This window comes from Homo sapiens, chromosome 21 (genome assembly GCF_000001405.40).
Source record: "Homo sapiens chromosome 21, GRCh38.p14 Primary Assembly".
In the NCBI taxonomy this organism is placed as follows: domain Eukaryota; kingdom Metazoa; phylum Chordata; class Mammalia; order Primates; family Hominidae; genus Homo; species Homo sapiens.
Window position 1 is genome coordinate 43,303,120 of NC_000021.9, and position 18,450 is coordinate 43,321,569.

Here is an 18,450-nt window from a genome sequence, read left to right on the forward strand (position 1 = left end):
ATTTAGGGGCTGCTGACGGTAACTCACGTGGCCGTGGCTATCCCTGAGCTGCTCTGGGACTTCCTGGGTCAGTCAGTGTGGGAGCTGACCAAACTCTGAGGAGCTTAGTGTCATACTAATTTTGCCATTGACCCCGTTGTGGACCCCATCCTCTCCCCAAACAGGAGAGAATTTTGCCTGGAGAATTCTGAAGCTCGCCTCGAGGTTTCCGTCAGCCCCCTCTTGACCCCGGAGCTGCCCAAGGACACGAGCCTGGAGACACGTGTCTGATGTTCCGCAGTGACTGCTGCATGCTGGAGTCTGATGTGGCGGGACAGGCCCGGCGTATGCTTGGCGCCACGGTGTCCTTTCTCAGCCACTCGGCACTGGCAGGCAGGGTGTTTGGAACAGCATTGCAGATGGGTGTCAATGATAAGGTGAGGCTCCTATCACGGGCAGCGATTATTCAGCAGGGGACCCGTGGCTGCTCTGCCTTGTGTTGGAAAAGCTCTCATGGCCTCAGTTTCTTCCTCTGGAACTGATGCAGGACAGTGAGCCCCAAAGCTGGGGCTTAGCCCAGGAAGGTTCTTGGGTTCACTAGGGAGGAATTCCAGAGCGAGCGGGAGGTGGAAGGAAACAGCTTCACTGAGGTGGCCGTGTCACAGCTCCGTGACTGTGCCTGCAGGGCAGAGCCCCTCCCCCAGCCCCGCAGCATGGGGAGCAGCTGCTCAGGGACAGGCCTGCAGTCATATTTATACCCGTTTTTAACCATATGAAAATTAAGGGGTGAGTTATTCAGAAATGTCTAGAAAAAAGGAGGCAACTTCTTGGTCATTGCCATGGAAAGGGGTGGTAACTTCTGGGTGTGGCCATGGCCCTGGCGGGCGTGTCTTATGGAGAGGTGCTCCTGACTCCTTCCTGTTTCAACAGTCCTCAATCTGGTCCGGAGTCAAGTCCCACCTCCTACCTCCATGGTTTCTACCTGAAAAAGCACTGAGAAGACTCCGCAGGTGAACGTGCAAATCTGGGGTGCAGGGGAACTCGTAGGGGGATACAGGCTGAACTATGTCCCGCATAAATGATATGTCGAAGCCCTAACCCTCAGAACGTGACCTTATTTGGATAAGGTCTTTAAAGAGATGAGTTAAAAGGAGGCGTGAGGTTGGGCCCTAACTCAGCATGGCTGGTGTCCTTATAAAGAGAGGACAGGTGGACAGAGACAGGCACAGAGGGGCGCCCATGAGGACGCGGGGAGAAGACGGTCACCTGAAAGCCAAGGGGAGGAGCTCAGAGGAACTGGCCCTGCCACGCCTTGACCTTGGATTTCGGCCTCCAGAACAAGAGAAGATCCGCGTCTGCTGCTGGAGCCTCCGGCTGGGGTCCTTTGTGGTGGCCACCCCGGTGAACTCACACAGGACGTGTGAACTCACACAGGACACGCAAAAGTTTCCCCAGTGTCTCCTCTGGAACTTCCTGGTGTTTTGAAGAAGGCACTCCATTTCTGAAGGGCACTGGCAGCATATTTCTGTGTTTAGAACTTTTCCCATGCATATTTTTGAACAAGTATTTTAGGAAGATAAATATCAGCACGTTTTGCTGCTGTTGAGAGGGTCTGTGGGGTCTGTTTAGAAAATACGTGATGGTTCTGACCACAGAGCCCCGGGCATCACCGGCCACACCGTTGCCCCCGGGAGGGGTCAGCAGAGCCCCCGTGGTCCAGACAGGCAGAGCCTCTGTGTCCGGGGTGGCTGTGGGTCCTCAGGACGCCTGCCCGGCTTGAGTGTGTCTGTTGCTTAGCTTGTTTGGGGGCAGAATTAACCCAGTGCCTTCGCCAATTCTATTTGTTTTTGTCCGGGAGTTGGTGATTAGTGCAAACATCAAGGACACATGTTTTGAGGGCCTTATGTGCCAAGGGGCAGACAGAGGGCTTGTGTGTTCGGTGGGGGTCAGGACCTTGTCACTGAGCTTCCCTGACCCTGGAAGCCCAGGGTGGCCGCCTGCTTCCCCCATGGGCTGCTGAGTGAAATGGGGGTTCCTGAGGAGCAGTGACGGGGAGGTCCACCCAGGTCGCTGGGCCATGTGGTGAGAGCCTGCAGGTGGCACCGGACACGCCTGGGTCGCCCCTGCCATTGTGGGGCTCCCGCTACCCAGCTGCTGACAGAGCCACTGCTTTCCCCGGGTATAGCGCATGTGGAGGGTGGAATCCCACGTGTGGGTCCAGTGCCCACATGTCCTGACCTCAGGAGCACACGATGGTCTTGGGCCCCGCAGCATCCAAGAGACACCTGGATAAGGGCCAGGAGGTGCATGGCACGGGCTCCCTGGGAGGCACTCGGTTTTCATTATTTACTATTGAAAACTAAGAGCAGCCAGGTGGAACCTGGAGCTCCCACCGCAGTGGACTTCGTGGCATTCTCTGCAGCATCACGTGGCCTGGGGCAGGGAGCCCAGCTCGCCTCCTGCCCTGCTCGGCCCCGGGCTTGCAGCCACAGCGCCCCTCTGATCTCGGCCTTCGGCTGCGCGTGGCTCTCCCTTGTGTGTCTGTGTCTCTCTTCTCATGGGGACACCAGTCACATCGGGTCAGGGTTTATCCTATTCTAGTGGAAGCTCGTCTTAATTTAACTATTTCCATCTGCAAAGACCCGATTTTCAAGTAAGGTCACGTTCGCTGGTGCCAGGGTCACGGCACCCACATATTTTTTGGGGGGGACACAGGGGACCTGTAACAGATGGCAAGGCAGCCCCTCCCTTTAGGAGCAGGACTTGGCCGAAGTGCAAGGGTGGGCCATGAGGATGTGGACGCACCGCCCCGACCAGTGACCATGGGGGTTTGTGGGAGCTGTTTCTCACCGGCAGGCCCTGGGAACGTAAATGCAGGCTGTCTGGGAGGTCGCCAGGGCTGCCCCCTCTGCATCTTCCTGCGGGCAAAGGACATTTGCAGCCACGGTGCTGGGGAGCCAAGGAGATGCCGCGATGCAGCCACCCTGGGCCCTGCAGTGGTGCAGATGAACCACCTTGTGAGCAAGTGAAGAGGGGATGGGTGAGCCCACCCACAGCAAGGGGAGAAGGAAGTCCCCACTCACGCGGACACCGAGAGATCCTGCCCAGTCACCACTGCAAGGCCAGGAGTGGGGACCTGCAGTGCCCGGGTCCCTGTCCAGTCCGTAGGGCAGCTGGAGGGGGGTGGGGCAGGGAAACTGTCAAAGTACAGCAGTACAAACCTGGCCAGAGCCCACTGTGCGAATGCCCATTGGGACTTCGTGGGCCTCGGGGGCCTGAGGCTCAGTGGAAGAGAATTAAGACTTTTCTCAAAGTAGAAAAGGAAGAGGAGAATTCCTTTCCTTTCCCTCCTCCAGGGGGTGGAGGCATAAAGGGACCCCCAGGCAGGCACAGCCCGGGGGCCACGCATGCACCCTTCATTCCTCCACTGGCTGACAGTGTGTGCATGAGCGTGGATGGAGCGAGTGCTGCCCTCCGTGTAGGGGAGCCCTCCCAAGAGCACCCCACAAGCCAGGGAGCCCCAAGCAGCCCCCAGCGGGTCTGGGATCCGGTCCTGGGTAAGCGTACTGTGTCTCCTAGAGCATTTTTTAGGGGTGGCCGGAGGGACAGGCATGGGGAAGAAGTGAGCCTGTTCTCGGAGCTACCCCCCATCATCCAGAGGCATACAGGACAAGGCGCCCCTCCTCCCTCCACCAGCCCCACCCAGAAGCCCCTGAAGGCAGCATCAGGCACCCCAAGGATGAGGTTGGCTGCTGAATCTCCAGCGGTGACAGCTTGGTCTTCCAGCAAAATCTCCAGGTCCCAAGGAGTTCCAGCAGTATCCTGAGACCCCCTAATGCAGCGTGCCTGCCCTCGCCCATGATGGCCTGGTTGTCAAAGGGCGAGGCCAGCCCAGCATCACCCACAGCAGTGCATCCATGGAAACACACTCCTGGGGAATTAAAGACGGGTGTCACGTGCTCCCAGTCGGGCCAGGATGGAAAGGGTCTTCTCATCTTTCCAGTTGGTGCAATGACAGCCAATTTCGACATGAGCAGGTGCGCAGGAAGCAAGGGCAGCACCGGCCCAGGAGGGCCTGGTGATGTGTACGGTTATTATTGGAAGTGTGATGGCAGTCGGGAGTGCAGGGCCATGAGTCACACCCAAGGTGACCTTGAGTCATGCATCTGCCCGGCTCTTGGGCCTCGGGCTAACCAGCTCCCCGCCTCCTCTCCACACAGGAGACCACAGAGAGGTTTTCCGAGCCTGGCTGCGGGTGGGGCAGCCCCACCAAGTGTCTGGGGCCAGCGGCTCCCCAGTGTTCTCCTAAGCCTGTAACTTCCCTGGGGATCCCTGGGACTCGCTGTCTCAGACAGAGCCTCACCCACCTCGGAGCTGGTTCTCCTGATACCACAGGGCCCAAGGGTATCGTGGCTGCCAGGGTGGGGCAGGACCAGAAACTGAACTGGCTGTACTCAAGAATGCAAATGGCGTGAGAATAGGGAAGGGTGCCGGCCACAGTGACACTGGCAGCTGCGTCCTGCCCACACAGCTGGCATGGGAATTCCCCACCTGGAGCACACGCTGCTCATGTCTTAGTTGAGGAAGGGATAAGGGGCTAAGGAGGGGGTGTCCCTGACCAATGGGACCTGGGGTCTAACCTGACCCACAGGATGGCTGCTCTGTCCACCCCAGCCCTGTGGACATCTCTTGCCCACCCAGCCATGGCAAAAATGAGGAGCCCCCGACCATGGTGACCCTGTCTGCCAGCCCCAAATTTGGGACTCAGAGTTGGACAGGCCAGAGTGCGGAGGAACACCAGCCCCCTGGAAGCCCCCTGGAATACGAAGCCGTCACCGCTGAGATCATCCCTAAGTGCCTGCTGATCACCCCTCCCTCCTCCAGACGGAAGGAAATCCTACAAAGGAAACACACGTATCAGACTTTCTACACCTCCCAGCTAGACTCTCTTTCACCATGGGCTAACACCACAGAATGACCTTACAGGTTCTAGAAACATGGACATCCGCCCCAGGGCTTTGATTGGGGAACGGAGCCCCTGCTTTTCTAGAGTGAATTTTTTGAGCAGCTTGCAACCTCTGTCAGTAATTTGTCTCTTATTCTGGAGGGTGCCAGGCAGGAGGAGACGGTGGGCTTCCTGCTGATCCAGGCCCACCCTTTGCGGATAAGATGAGGCCTTCCCTGCTAGTGGGAGCCAGGCCTATGGGGCGGGGACAGCCTGGGCCCTCCCAGGGAGTGTAGAGGAGGAGGATGTGCTGGAAGGATGGCACCCCAGCCCGGAAGGACCCCCGCCCAGGACAGCCAGGCCTCTTGCCACAGGGGACACTTATGCCCCACACAGAAAGCACCCCGTTTCTCAGGGCTTCTCATGGGCAAAGTAACCCCAGAGACCCTGGAATGAAACTCATGCGTCTGTGAAATAAGACCAGGATTAAGCATCTGATGAGATTGTGTTGGTGGAAAAGGTCGGTAAAGAGGGTGTGAGCTTGGTGCTGCCCTGGTGAAGGAAAAACCTACCCAGAATTACTGTGGGTCACATAGGCCGGGTGAGCAAAGCCAGAGGCTTTTCCAGACCCCCTCTGGCTGGGTCTCCTTGGAGGGCGAGTGGATGGGAGGGGCAGGGAGGCCTGCAGGGATTGCCTCCAAGTGAGAAGCTTGGCCAGGCCGCAGATCCAGGCAGCTGGTGTTTTACTTTACTTATCTCTTCTCTCCTTTTTTTTTTCTGTTTAGTTTTTTCTAACACTTTTCTGTCTACTTTCAACAAGTTAAAGAACTTTTTGTTTTATTTATTTATTTATTTTCCTGTGGTAAAATATGCATAAGATAAAATTTGCCATTTCAGCCATTTTTAGGTGCACGGTTCAGTGGCATGAAGCATATCCACATTGTTGTCAGTCATCACCACCACGCATCCCCAGAACGTTCCATCCTCCCAAACTGAAACCCCATCCCCATTGAACACTCCCTCCCCATGCCCCTCCTCGGTCCCCAGCACTCACCGTTCCACCTCCGGTCTCTACGAACCAGACTCCGCCAGGGACCTCATACAGGTGGAACCACCCGGTGTCAGTCCCTGTGTACCTGGCTTATTTCACTCAGCATCATGTTCTCAAGGTCGGTCCTTGCTGTGGTGTGTGTCAGGATGTCACTCAGCATCATGTTCTCAAGGTCTGTCCATGTTGTGGCGTGTGTCAGGATGTCACTCGGCATCATGTTGTCAAGGTTGGTCCTTGCTGTGGCGTGTGTCACGATGTCCTTGCTTTCTGAGGCCAGATCCTATTTGGCATGCATAGACCATCTTTTGCCTGCTCACGCCTCTGTCCATGGGCCCTTGAGTGGCTTCCATCTGTCGGCTGCTGTGAATAAACCTGCTGTGAACATGGGTGTACAAATATCTCTTTGAATCTCTGCTTTCAATTCTTTTGGGTATATACCCAGAGAAGAAATTGCTGGATCACGTGGTAATTCGATGTTTAACTGTTTTGAGGAGCTGCCATACTTCACAAGTTTTTGAAGGTTTAGGGTTTCTTTGGGAGTTTCCGTTATATTTTTTTTAATAGTGTCACAGAACTAATTTTGATGAAAAACACTCATTCTCTATCTTCTCATTCTGGGGGAATAAATTAGTGTGATTTGAATATAATGTAATTGCATGCAAATCCAGCCACAAAACCGGGCGCTGCGCACTGGCAGAGGGTCAGGAGTTGTGCCACCTTGCTAGGGAGGAAGGAGGGTGTGTTTCCATGATATGCCAGCGGTCGGTCCTCTTAAAAGGGTGTGTATTCTCTTGCTGACTGTTTAGAATTGGCAAGATGTGGTAATAATAGTTGGTTTTACTATCATTTTTAGATTCTTTACAGGCATCACACTCCCTGATTGTCTTGTTCCCTCCTATTACACTACACACCTGCTATACCACTGATCATAGCTATAGATGCCTAGGACTGTAACTGATACAACAACAAAGCTACAAATGGCTCCAGGCCCGGATAGTTTCACAGGCCATTCCACCACACTGTTAAGGAACAGATAATATTTAAATGGATGCAAAGCATAAATAAGGAAAGAAAATTTCTAAATTCTCTTTATGAAGCTACCATAAGAATGATGCCAAAACCCAAAGAGACAAGCACAGAAAGAAAATCATAAGCCAATCTTATGAATGAACACCAACACAAAAATGTGAATTAAATTGTCTAAAAACTGTAAGCCATGACCTAGGAGACTTGAAGATGGTTTGATATTAGGAAATATCTTAAAATAGGTCTTCACATTCATAGAGCCTATAAAATTGCAGTAGTTGGGACATGGACCCCCTAGTCGGACAGCAAAGAAATTAGGCAGAGGAACCAAAAATGGATCCAAACACACCCACCTAGTTAGGACATAGGAGAGGTGATTTTTGCCTATCAGTGTGATGAATTCCAGTTGTTCAGAAGACACCAACTGAATTACAACTAAATAGTTTTCTAGAAAAAAATAAAATTGCATTTCTACTTTATTCCCTAAGGCCTCCATATGTTACAGCTACAGCAGATATTTTTATAAAGTTGGAAACCATAAACATACTAGAAGAAAACAGAGAGCCATTTCCTTTACTAGTTTTAGAAGGAGAAGATCTTCTGAAATAGAACACAAACTCAGAAGCCATAAACATGGATTAAAAGAAATAATAATAAAGTTAAAAATGTTTGCCTGGTGAAAAACACAACCACCATAAACAAAGACAGGTGAGAAATGAAATAGTATCTGCAATGCAAGGCACAGGAAAAGCTTCATTTGGTTCATACATAAAGAAGTTCTAGAAATCAATGCAATGAAGACCAACAAAGTGATAGAAAATGGGCGAAGTACAAAAACAGTTCACAAAACAGAAATGTGAAGGCTGTTAAACATATGGAAAGATACACACACTAATGGGAAAAAAGAAAGAATGCAAGTTAAAATCAGAATGTAAGACTGTTTTTAATCTATCCGACAGCCAAAGACAAAAGCATGAGAACCCTCTGTCAGTGAGGAGTAGGAGAGAGGCTCCTAACCGATTACTGGTGTGAGCAACTTGTGATGCCTTCTTTGAAATAGGTATAGAAACGTAGAGTGCACACACCCAGCAGCTCTGCAGATAGGTGCACACAAGTGCTAAATAACATATGCACAAGTCTACTGACACAGCTTTACCTGCAAGTTGTCAAAAGCTGGAAACTGCTCCAACATGCCCAGATAAGAGTCTGGAGAAATAAATCATGCTACACCCAGACAGTGGGATTCGTGTCAGGCAGCTGTTAAAAAGCGGGAGGTGGCTTTATGTGCAGCAATGCACAAATTACTGCTTAAAGCAGGAAGCCAGGTGCAGCATGCAGAACACTCCCTGGGCAGCAGCACCTCTGGAGAGGTGCGTGAGTGCCTGGGGCTGCCATAACCAAGCACCACAAACCGCCTGGCTTAAAACCTATCCTCTCACAGTGCTGGGGCCAGAAGTCCAAAGTCACAGTGGCAGCTGCACCACGCCTCCTCTGAGGCCTCCCAGGGAGAACCCGTTGCTTATTCCAGCTCCTGGTGGCTCCAGGTGGCCTCTGCCTCCATCTTCACATGACTCCTCCCTGTGTGTATCTTCTCCCCCTCTCTTCTAAGAACACTGTCATTGGATCCGGGCCCGCTCCAATTCAGGATGACCTCACCAGAAGGTCCTTAATGACATCTGCACAGATCTTTTTTCCAAATTCAGTCACATTTATAGGTTCTGGGTGGATGCATCTTTTAGGGGCTCACTATTGTCTCCCTAAAAGAAAGAAGCGGAGGCAAAATTAATCTAAGTGGAGAGTTTATTTGGGCCAAGCTTGAGGATTGCAATAGATTCCATTTGCCCTGGATCTACACTCTGATGAGCAGCAGTTCACGTGGCTTGTAAAGGAAAGTGGGGGTCAGGGAGTCGGCTGATACCAAGTTTTCTATCAGGAATTCTCATTAGTTTACAGAAATAGCATTGATGAGTGATTGGCTGTATGTTGTTAAGATATAGGGTGTGGGTTACGGTGTCCAGTGGGGCATTACTGGGTTAATCCGTAGCTACTTGTGGCAACAGGAAGCAGTTTCCAGACATGAACACACAGCTCAAAGCAGGGAGCAGGGTGTGACCACTGTCTCATTTTAAGGTCTCTCTGCGCCTGATAATTAAAAGCACTCACATTCCACAGGCAAAACTTTTTTTCTCACCATTTAAACCATTACTGCTGGAAACAGAGGTAAGGAAGAGATCATGGCCTGCCCTCTGAGATTTTATACCATGCCTGGAATGACCTATTATCAAAATAAGTAGCTGGAGCTATTCCATGGCAATGAGGAGGTCTGTGCATAAACTGTCTCCCAGTGGAGGACCGGCCACACCCACACCCTCCCATGCTAAGGACGGGCCCAGAGCCCTTGAGGGGCACCTTGACCCCCCAACACCACTCTGGAGCTGGGCTTCCTGTCTGCTTGCTGCTCTTATATCATAAGTAGAGAGATCATCTCTTTCTCTCTCTCTCTCTGTCTATATATATATATATAAATTAAATCTCTTATTTCTAACAGTGCAAAATTCTTTATTAATGCCAACATTTTTCCACTTTATGGTAACTCACTCATCTATTATTTTAGTTGGCCGCCCCACTCCATAAACACACACACACAGGCGCGCTGGCCAGGTGAGGAAACCACAGGGCAGTAGCAGGTGTGGGGACAGGCACCCAGTAGGTGGGGCAGGTGCCCTCCTCCCTCCGTAACAGGCGGGTCCAGGAACAGCTATGCTTTTCTGGCTCCCACTCAACTCCCCCACCCCCAGCATTCCCAGCAAAGGGCTTCTCCCTTCCCCATGGGGCCCCACAGATTTGCATGTGAGTGACCCAAAGCTAGGTCAGTCATAGGCAAACGGGTCTATGCAAATATTCTGTGTTAGCCAGATTGCTTCTGCGAACTCAGGGTTTTCTGGTGTAGCCATCTCCTTCCTGGGCCTTCTGTGAACTCAGGGTTTTCTGGTGTAGCCATCTCCTTCCTGGGCCTTCTGTGAACTCAGGGTTTTCTGGTGTAGCCATCTCCTTCCTGGGCCCTTTGGTCTGCTCTCCATTTGTCCTGAGAATAAACCCTGCTGCCCCACCCCCCACCCCAGTGCCCACCCCCGCCCCCAGCACCTCCTCCTGATTCACCGAAGTCAGGGTTGCACAAAATCCTTCACCTGTGAACCTGCGTCCTTAAACGTGCAGCCTGGGATGTGGAGGGGAACCTGGGGAGGTTTACACATTTTCCCAGCCAGACCCGCAGTATCAGTGGTTCTCAACCAGGGGTGGTCTAGACCCGGGGACTTCCGGTGAGGTCTGCACACAGTCTGGGTTGCCACACTTAGGAGGGGAGGGGCACCATTCAGCATTCTGCAGTGCACAGGACAGCCCCTGCCAGAAGGAATTTTCCAGCCCCAAATGTGAGCGGCATGAGCCAGGGCCTGAGTGTCGGGGCTGATGGTAAAGATATCCCCGGCAGAGAGGGTTAAATTCTTCCAGGGGAGTTCAGAGGGTCCTGTGCTTCTCTGTGAGGAGCGTGTCCCCCTTCGAGGCAACCCTCCTAGGAGACAGGCGGGGGTCCGTTCTTGTTGATCATCTCACAGAGCTGGAGAACTACAGTTATCCTGGAGGCCAGATTGGAGGCCTCTCTCCACCCAGGCCGTGGTCCGGCTCACCTGCTGCCCAGGGAGGGTGCTCACATGCACGCCCTTGGAGCCTGTTCCGCCGGGACCCTTTGCCCCACAGTGACCCCGTCTGGGTTTTCCTTGCCCTTCTCTGGACTCAGTGGTCCCAGCCCCTCTGAACTTCCCCTGTTATCTTCTTGGGACTTACCAGTTCCATTCTGAGTCCCACATTGTGGCTGGGGAGACTCGTATTGGGTGGAGCTTCAAAGCTGGTGTGACCCTGGGACAGAGGAAGGCTCTGGGGACTTTGCAGTTACGGAGACAGCCAGAAAGCCACAGTCCCTTCTCTCTACACACTGCGGTGGAAGACATGGCCCTTCCTGCCAACGTGCACCTCCCCTGGGCTCCTGCAACATCAGGGGTGGTGAAGGCACCCCCCTCCAGGAACCCTGGCCTGGTGGCCTCAGGGCACGGGGGCTTCTGGGAGCCAGAATCCGCAGACCCTGACGGCCCCAGAGTGGGGAGGCCCTGCTGGGCCCGGAGATTCTTACAGACCCCGGAGGGAACAAGAAGGCTTCTGGGGCCTCAAGTTAGGTCTTCCTTCTCCTGGTGTCTGAGGCTTCTAGAACATTCCAAAAACAAGACAGCCACAGAAGCTGGTGGTCTTGATTGGTGTGGACTTTGAGAGTGTGGCAGGATAGCAAATCCTTCTGGCTTTTGTGTCCTCCTGTAATACTCTTCTTTGTGCAATTTCTTATTGTTGGCAGGAAATCTCTTTTTCTCATGAAAAAACATTGCCTCCCCCGTGGGGTTCCGCTGTGGGGAGGCCCCTTCAGAAGGTCGGCAGGAGGAGGAGGCGAGGTGGGGCTGCCCAAGGCCACTGTTGAGGGTCCCCCACCCCTGTCCCTGGTTGGCACTGCACTGGGGTATTGGTCATACAGTGGGGGGGCACCTCCCGGATCGTGGCGGGGGCGGGAGATAGAGGCTCGTAGGGTGGCAGAGCCACAGGCACAGCACACAGAGATGCCCTGGAGGGGCTCTGGAGAGAGGGGCCAGAGTTGTTTTTAAAAACACGTACAGGCCGGGTGCGGTGGCTCACGCCTGTAATCACCTGTAATCCCAGCAGGCCGGGTGCGGTGGCTACGCCTGTAATCCCAGCAGGCCGGGTGCGGTGGCTCACGCCTGTAATCCCAGCACTTTGGGAGGCCAAGTTAGGTGGATCACCTGTGGTCGGGAGTCCGAGACCAGCCTGACCAACATGGAGAAACCCCGTCTCTACTAAAAATACAAAATTAGCCTGGTGTGGTGGCTCACGCCTGTAATCCCAGCTACTCGGGAGGCTGAGGCAGGAGAATTGCTTGAACCCAGGAGGCGGAGGTTGCAGTGAGCCGAGATCACGCCATTGCACTCCAGCCTGGGCAACAAGAGCAAAACTCTGTCTCAAAAGAAAAAAACATAAAATAAAAACAAAAACAAAACAAAAACAACAACAACAAAAAACCACACAAATAATTTTCGTTGCTGATTATAAAAAAGAGCTGAGTTTTGGAGTCAGATAAGAGTGTTCTAGTGGCAGGAAGAGGGCAGCACTTGCGGGAAGGCAGGCGCTTTCCGACAGCAGGGTGTGTGAGGGGAACACAGCAGGGCAGGTGGCTGCAGCCTGGGTGAGCAGGGTCCTGCGACCCACCCAAGGGGGCTCCTGAGTGAGGGTCCCCAGCCACTGCCAGAAGGCGCCTGAGGCTAACGGTGTGGAGGACGCCTGGGGAGGAGGGAGACTGGGAGGGATGCGCCTTGGAGAGAAGCACCCCCTTGAAGAGCTGCAGGGGCCCCTGTGGGCAGCGGACAGGCAGCCAGGAGGGAGGCTGGCAGGAGGGGCAGAAAATGGGCTGGAGCTCGGCAGGCGGCTAGTGAGGGATGGGGGCCCTGATGGTGCCTCCCACATTTCTCTTGGGGGACTTAGCGTGTGCCCTGGCTTTTTAGCTTGGGTTGTGACACCATTCACCATGCCTGGAATTTGAGGGCAGGACAGGAGTGCGGGGTGGGGGCCGAGGGACCTCAGCTGTGGAGGTTGGGACGCTGCAGGCTGCCCAGAGACTGTGGGGAGGCTTTTGGGACTTCGAAGCTATGGGGAAGTCTAAGCAAGTTTACACTTGTGTGTGGCCGTGGGGAGACCGAGGCTGAGGGCTGGTGCCCATCCTGCAGGTGCAAGGTTAACCTCTCCCTGCTCACAGGGGCCTGGCAGCCTCGGCACCCAGGGACGATGGCCCAGCCGCCCCAGGGACCACTGACTGCCGGCGGGCTGGGCGCATGCTCATGAGAGCAGTTACTTTGTGCATCTGCGCGAGAACCACAAGATGGGATTTATTGGTTCCATTTCAGTAGGAGGAAACTGAGGCTCAGAGAGGCTTCGCACTTCCCCTGCTTGTGCTTGGAGGTGGAGGGCGCAGGATTCCAGGAGGGACTGGCCGGCCCCTCCCACTGAGGTTTTCACCATCTGCCCCTACCCCGGGCAAGACATCTGCCTTGGGAGTGGGGTCTGGGCTGGGGCCGGTGGAGCTGAGAGAGTAATGAGCAGCTCCCAACGCAGAAGGAGAAATGCGTGAAAACATGGAGCCCCAGTTGTCCCCGAAGTGGTGGAGGGTGTCGGGGGTGTCGGAGGGGGGCAAACCCGCTGAGGCATGGGGAGCACCAGAGAGGTGGGGGAGCGGGAGGGGGACACTGCCCAGGATGGCAGAGGCACCAGAGGGGGTCTGAAACCCTTCCAGGCAAGCTCAGGACCCCTGAGTCCAGCTGAGTCCCCAGCAGCTGCACAGAGCTCAGGGCGGGGGCCAGCAGCCGTGGAGCTGGGGGGCTGAGGGAACATCTGCAAGGACGTGCTCCACCCAGGCAGACGCCACAGGACATCTCTGGACCCCATGCAGCCAGGCCAGGAGGCAGGATCCAGGCATGCAGCCCCTGGGTGACAGACACCTGGGCACCAGGGCGAGAGGCATCAGAGCCAAGGGAACCTCCTGGCAGCCACTGCCACCTAGACACTCCCGCAGGTCCCTGAAGGGCCTCTGCGAGGGTGAGTCTGTTCTGCTTGGGGTCACCCATAGAGACAGGCCCACAAACGGGCCCACAAAAGATATGTTCACGTCAAATCCTCGGAATCTTTGAACATGACCTTCTTTGGGAAAATGGGTTTTGGAGATGTAATTAAGTTAAGGATCTTGAGATAAGGTCATCCTGGATTATCTGCGTGGACTTTACATCTAACGACAGGTGTCCTTCAAGAGACACAGACACAGAAAAGAAGGCCATGATGATGGAGGCAGAGATCGGAGGGCGCAGCCACAAGCCAGGGAAACCTGGTCTCCTCCACCAGGAGCTGGAGGAGACCAGGAAGTATTGTCTACGGCCACGCATTCTGAATGTGCTCAGTTTCGCCTAATCTTGGTGAAACCAAGGAAACATCCTCCCCTGGAGCCTTCAGAGGGAGCACAGCCCTGCTGGCATCTTGGATATCAGGTCTCTAGAACTGCGAGAGAATCAATTTCTGTTGTTGGTTTTGTTTTGTTTTGAAGCAGGATCTCACTCTGTAGCCCAGGCTGGAGTGCAATGGTGCAATCACCGCTCACTGCAGCCTCTACCTCCCAGGTTAAAGTGATCCTCCCACTTCAGCCTCCTGAGTTCCTGGGACCACAGGCACACACCACCACGCCTGGTTAATTTGTGTGTACGTGTAGTTTTTGTAGAGATGGGGTCTTGCTATCTTGTCCAGGCTGGTCTCAAACTCCTGGACTCATGCCATCCGCCCGCTTTGGCCTCCCCATGCGCTGGGATTACAGGCGTGAGCCACCGCACCCAGCCAATTTCCCTTGTGTTAAGCTGTGTGTGTGATAATATGTTAGGGTGGCCTCAGGAAACGCCCACCTAACTTGGGAAGATGAGAACAGGGAAATCTATACCAGCTTGTGCGTGAGAAGTTTCAGACACAATAATTACTCAGATGTTCTTTCATGGGAAATCAAAGCAGAAGACATCCGAATGTTCAGGGTTTAGATGTAGGTTCTGTCCCTGAATGTACTGCAAATCAAAGACAAACGTGGAGGGCGATCTGGCCCAGCCAGAACATCAGGTCGTTCCTTATGCTGCTCTATCATCAGCTCTCCGTGGAGCCAGGTGGCTGCTTGGGCACTTGAGCCAGCAGGAAAGAGGAGAGGATGAAGGAAGGACGTCGTCTGCCCCAGCTGCTGTAACACACCGTAGGTGGTGGCTCGAGCCGCAGGCATTTCTTTCCCCAGCTCTAGAGGCTGGAAGTCTGAGATCTGGGCCGGCGAGGTTGTATTCTGGGGAGGGCTCTCGAATTGGCTTGCAGATGGTCATTGTCTTGTTGTATCCTCAGATGGCAGAGAGAGGGAGCCCTGGTGCCTCTTCCTCTTCTGAAAGGGCGCTAATCTCATCAAAAGGGCCCCCTCATGACCTCATCTAAATCTAATTATCTCCCAAAAGCCCCATCTCCAAATCATGCCACATGGGAAGTTTGGGCTCCAATGTGAATTTGCAGGGGACACAGTTCAGTGCACAGCAGAGGGCATGGTCCTGCCTGTTAAGGATGCTTTCCGGAGGTTGCACACAACACTTCTGCTTAAAATTTGGGCACCAAAATTTAGGCACATGGTCACAGCTGGCTGCGAGGGGGAATGGGAATTGTATCCAGCTAAAATTAAGGAGTTCATATTATGACGTGCTCCGATAAGAGTAGGGATTCAGACTTTCCCCATGTCCCTTCGTTGCTTCATGCCTCTTCACAGTCCTTCATATCGATCCTGCCGTCTCATGGTCCAACGTGGCTGCCTGAGTACCTGTCATCACCTCTGCATTCCAGCCAATAGACTATGCCTCACTTAGTCCTGATGTAGTGTGAGGAATGCAGTCTCTTATCTGAATGCAGTGTGTCCAGTGAAAAGCTGGGGTTCTTGTTATTCAGGAAGAAGGATGGAAGGGCTGGGGGTAGTTAGCAGAATTTTGCCCACTGCCCTTATTGCCCCAAGGACTCTGGGTAAAACACTGACATGTAAACTGCCCTCCTGTTTGATCATTGGCTGCTCAGAGTCCATCCCTGCAAAGCCCACACCATAAGCTCCCCAAGTGCATGAGTCACGACTTTTCTTCTTCTTGCTCCTATAGGGTCTAGGCTGACACCGGGCAAGTCCCAGGGGGGTTAGCTGGGCATGCGCTGGCTAAGCTGAAGATGGGCTGTACCGAGCCAAACCATGGGATGGGGAAGCAGCGCCAGCAGTGGCTGCCTGACCTCCAGGTAACCCACCGTGCACCCGATGCTGGGTGCCTCCCCTGAGCGCTCTCAGCTTAGGCTTTCTGCACCTGGCTTCCCCACCAGAAGGACTTTCCACCCACACCCTCTGCAAGGCTTCAGAACTCTTTCTAACAAACCCCAGGGGGAGGGAGCGCGTTTCCCCGCAGCCAGACACGCTCAGTGACATTCTAGAGTCAAGTTCAGCGCTTGGCAAAGGCCCATTCCATAAAGGACAGATGCCCGGCCTCGGGAGGTTACAGGAATGGGGAGAAGGGTGACAGGACCCTCAGCAAGTCTCTGTGTCCAGGGGTTTCCAGCCAGCGTGGCTTGCCATGCTCCAAGCTGGGCTCAGAGGCTCTGGCTTCCCGACCCTCTGAGAGCATCTCTCTGTACACACAGAGGGGGTGGGGGCCAGTCACATCTGCTCCGGGCGATGTGACTCAGCTGTGGACGATGACGACATGATCCTGAGCATGACAGGGTGGGAAGCTTTTCCTCCTTCTCCAGGGCCTGCGAACCCTGGAAATGCATCCACGATGCAAATAGCGACAGACATCATTAGCGGACGCATCCATTCTGTTTGAGCTGGAAACGCTCAGGGCTGCAAGGCCCTTTTCTGAGAAGAGCGGTTCCTGTCGTCATCCTCCTCTGCACCGCAGCGTCTGATTCCCAGGAGGGACAGCCCGGCAGTTATAAAAGGCTCTTTCATGACAGGCCTAGAGGAATTAGAAATATAATTTTTTCAGGCGCTTCCAAAAAATCAAGTAATTAGAGCTCATGCACGTAAAAGGGCCCGCCATGAGATTTGTGGCTTGTTTTTTAAAGGAATCAATTTATATATTAAAACAATAAAATACATCCGGGGAGCACAAGCCTCTCTAATGCTTTCAGTGTCTTCTCAGTGTGGTTCCAGAAAACTCTGCCCCAGAGGAAACCAAGGACAGGGTTCCCTGGGCTGTTCCTGGGGGTTTGTGGGGGCTGCTGGGCTGGATGTAAAGTCATGTGTGTTCTCAAGGCTGGGGAAAGGACTTCACTGCTGCTGCTGACCCCAGCAATGTGTCCACTTGAATCAGCTCAGTGTAAAACAGAAAAAAAAAAGTGCTCTTGTCCTTTCAGGTCCTAATGTAGAGAGTGAAATGGCAGAAAGGATTCTATGTTAAATTTCCAGCTCGTAAAACCAGATGCAAGTTTATGCTTGTACATGGCCATGGGGAGGCCAAGGCTGGGAGGGTGGGGCCCATCCTGCAGGTGCAAGGTTAACTCTCCCTGCCCACAGGGGCCTGCAGCTTCCCCTCCCCCAGGTGATGGTTTGAATGGTATTCCCCACAAAAGATGCTGAAGTCCAACCCCCAGTACCTGTGAGTGGGACCTTCACTGGAAACAGAGTCCTGGCAGATCAGGTTAAGATGAGGTCACAGGTTGGACCCAACAAGACTGGCGTCTTTACCAAAAGGGGCGATTCTGACACAGAGGGGCATGTCCAGGGAGGACAAACTGAAGATACAGGGAGAAGACGGCCATCTCCAGGAACATCTCAGGCTGCCAGAAGCTGGCAGAGATGGGGACCAGAGGCTCCCTCACAGCCCCAGGAGGAGCCAGCCCTGACCACACCTGCATTGCAGACTTCTGGCCTCCAGGGCCGTGAGGTCAGGGATTTCTGAGGTTCAAGCCCCCCAGTGTGGTGCTTTGTTACGTAGGCTGAGCTGACTCATACACCCCGGCTGATGAAATGCTTCACCATCAGTTTCAGTTGTGAGCTGGTCATCTGGCCCCAAGAGAGCCCAGGCACCCCAGCCCACTACCCACCCTGGGTTTCTGCCCACGCCAATGGCTCCTGTGCCACCATGGCCAGGTAGAGGCACTTCCTCCACCCAGCCCTGGGTCACATGACAATTCCCTGTTCTCACTGTCCCCGTGAACCCCTCAGGGTCAGCGCTTCCACAGCCCTGGCAACCCTAGGCCACTCTGAGTGGCAGAGGCTGCCTAGCGTTTCTGACTCTGGAGACCCCTCTGTTGAGGATGGGGTCCCCTGGGTCCTGGAGCTTCCAGCACCCAGTCTCAGCTGAGGCCACCGCCTGAGCTCCTTCCTCCCAGAGGCTGAGCCGGCCTTTGGCCCCTGCCCTGGCACTGTGCTGGCTGTGCTCTCTGAGCTCATTTTTCTTGGTGGAGGCCAGGAGTTGGCTTCAGGGTACCCTTGTGTTTTCTCCTCCAAGGCCTGGGGACATATTCACAAATCCCTCCCAGGGGCCCTTCTGATGCCTTCATAGTGAGTCACTGAGGGCCCCCAAGCCTGGGGCCCAGGCCGGGTGAAACAGATTGCCCAGCACCTCCCCTCCTCCCCTTCACTGCCTTGAGAGAGGAGCGTCCTTCTCAGCTGTTTCTCCACATAGAGGATGGAGGCCACCAGGCCTCACCGTCCTGAGAGCCATCCCAAGAGCCATCCCAGGCACTGCCCTTGGAACTGGCCATGTGGCTCCAGTGTGGTTTGAGGCTTCAGAGGATTCGGGCCCATGAG

At 54.0% G+C, this 18,450-nt stretch overlaps 1 long non-coding RNA gene across 1 annotated transcript, besides 6 other annotated features; it reads right to left on the reverse strand.

Annotated features, from left to right (window-relative positions):
- Window positions 3,884–5,083: an enhancer, noted in NCBI's record as "P300/CBP strongly-dependent group 1 enhancer chr21:44726883-44728082 (GRCh37/hg19 assembly coordinates)". NCBI's record gives its function as "activates an origin of replication core promoter dependent on BRD2, BRD4, P300/CBP, MED14 and CDK7 cofactors, with strong dependence on P300/CBP, by STARR-seq in HCT116 cells {active_cell/tissue: HCT116}" and the evidence as "EXISTENCE:reporter gene assay evidence [ECO:0000049][PMID:35650434]".
- Window positions 4,491–4,590: an enhancer, noted in NCBI's record as "active region_18536". NCBI's record gives its function as "activates an Ori minimal core promoter by ATAC-STARR-seq in GM12878 lymphoblastoid cells {active_cell/tissue: GM12878}" and the evidence as "EXISTENCE:reporter gene assay evidence [ECO:0000049][PMID:35858748]".
- Window positions 5,307–5,812: an enhancer, noted in NCBI's record as "H3K4me1 hESC enhancer chr21:44728306-44728811 (GRCh37/hg19 assembly coordinates)". NCBI's record gives its function as "activates a minimal SCP1, AML or CMV promoter by ChIP-STARR-seq in naive H9 embryonic stem cells {active_cell/tissue: H9 hESC(naive)}" and the evidence as "EXISTENCE:reporter gene assay evidence [ECO:0000049][PMID:30033119]".
- Window positions 7,915–8,415: an enhancer, noted in NCBI's record as "H3K4me1 hESC enhancer chr21:44730914-44731414 (GRCh37/hg19 assembly coordinates)". NCBI's record gives its function as "activates a minimal SCP1, AML or CMV promoter by ChIP-STARR-seq in naive H9 embryonic stem cells {active_cell/tissue: H9 hESC(naive)}" and the evidence as "EXISTENCE:reporter gene assay evidence [ECO:0000049][PMID:30033119]".
- On the reverse strand, window positions 7,926–11,023 carry LOC124905026 (uncharacterized). The gene is made up of 2 exons (XR_007067887.1): window positions 10,845–11,023; window positions 7,926–8,758 (listed from the first exon to the last, which is right to left on the reverse strand). It is a non-coding gene; the product is annotated as an uncharacterized LOC124905026 (long non-coding RNA).
- Window positions 8,416–8,916: an enhancer, noted in NCBI's record as "H3K4me1 hESC enhancer chr21:44731415-44731915 (GRCh37/hg19 assembly coordinates)". NCBI's record gives its function as "activates a minimal SCP1, AML or CMV promoter by ChIP-STARR-seq in naive H9 embryonic stem cells {active_cell/tissue: H9 hESC(naive)}" and the evidence as "EXISTENCE:reporter gene assay evidence [ECO:0000049][PMID:30033119]".
- Window positions 10,832–11,595: an enhancer, noted in NCBI's record as "H3K4me1 hESC enhancer chr21:44733831-44734594 (GRCh37/hg19 assembly coordinates)". NCBI's record gives its function as "activates a minimal SCP1, AML or CMV promoter by ChIP-STARR-seq in primed H9 embryonic stem cells {active_cell/tissue: H9 hESC(primed)}" and the evidence as "EXISTENCE:reporter gene assay evidence [ECO:0000049][PMID:30033119]".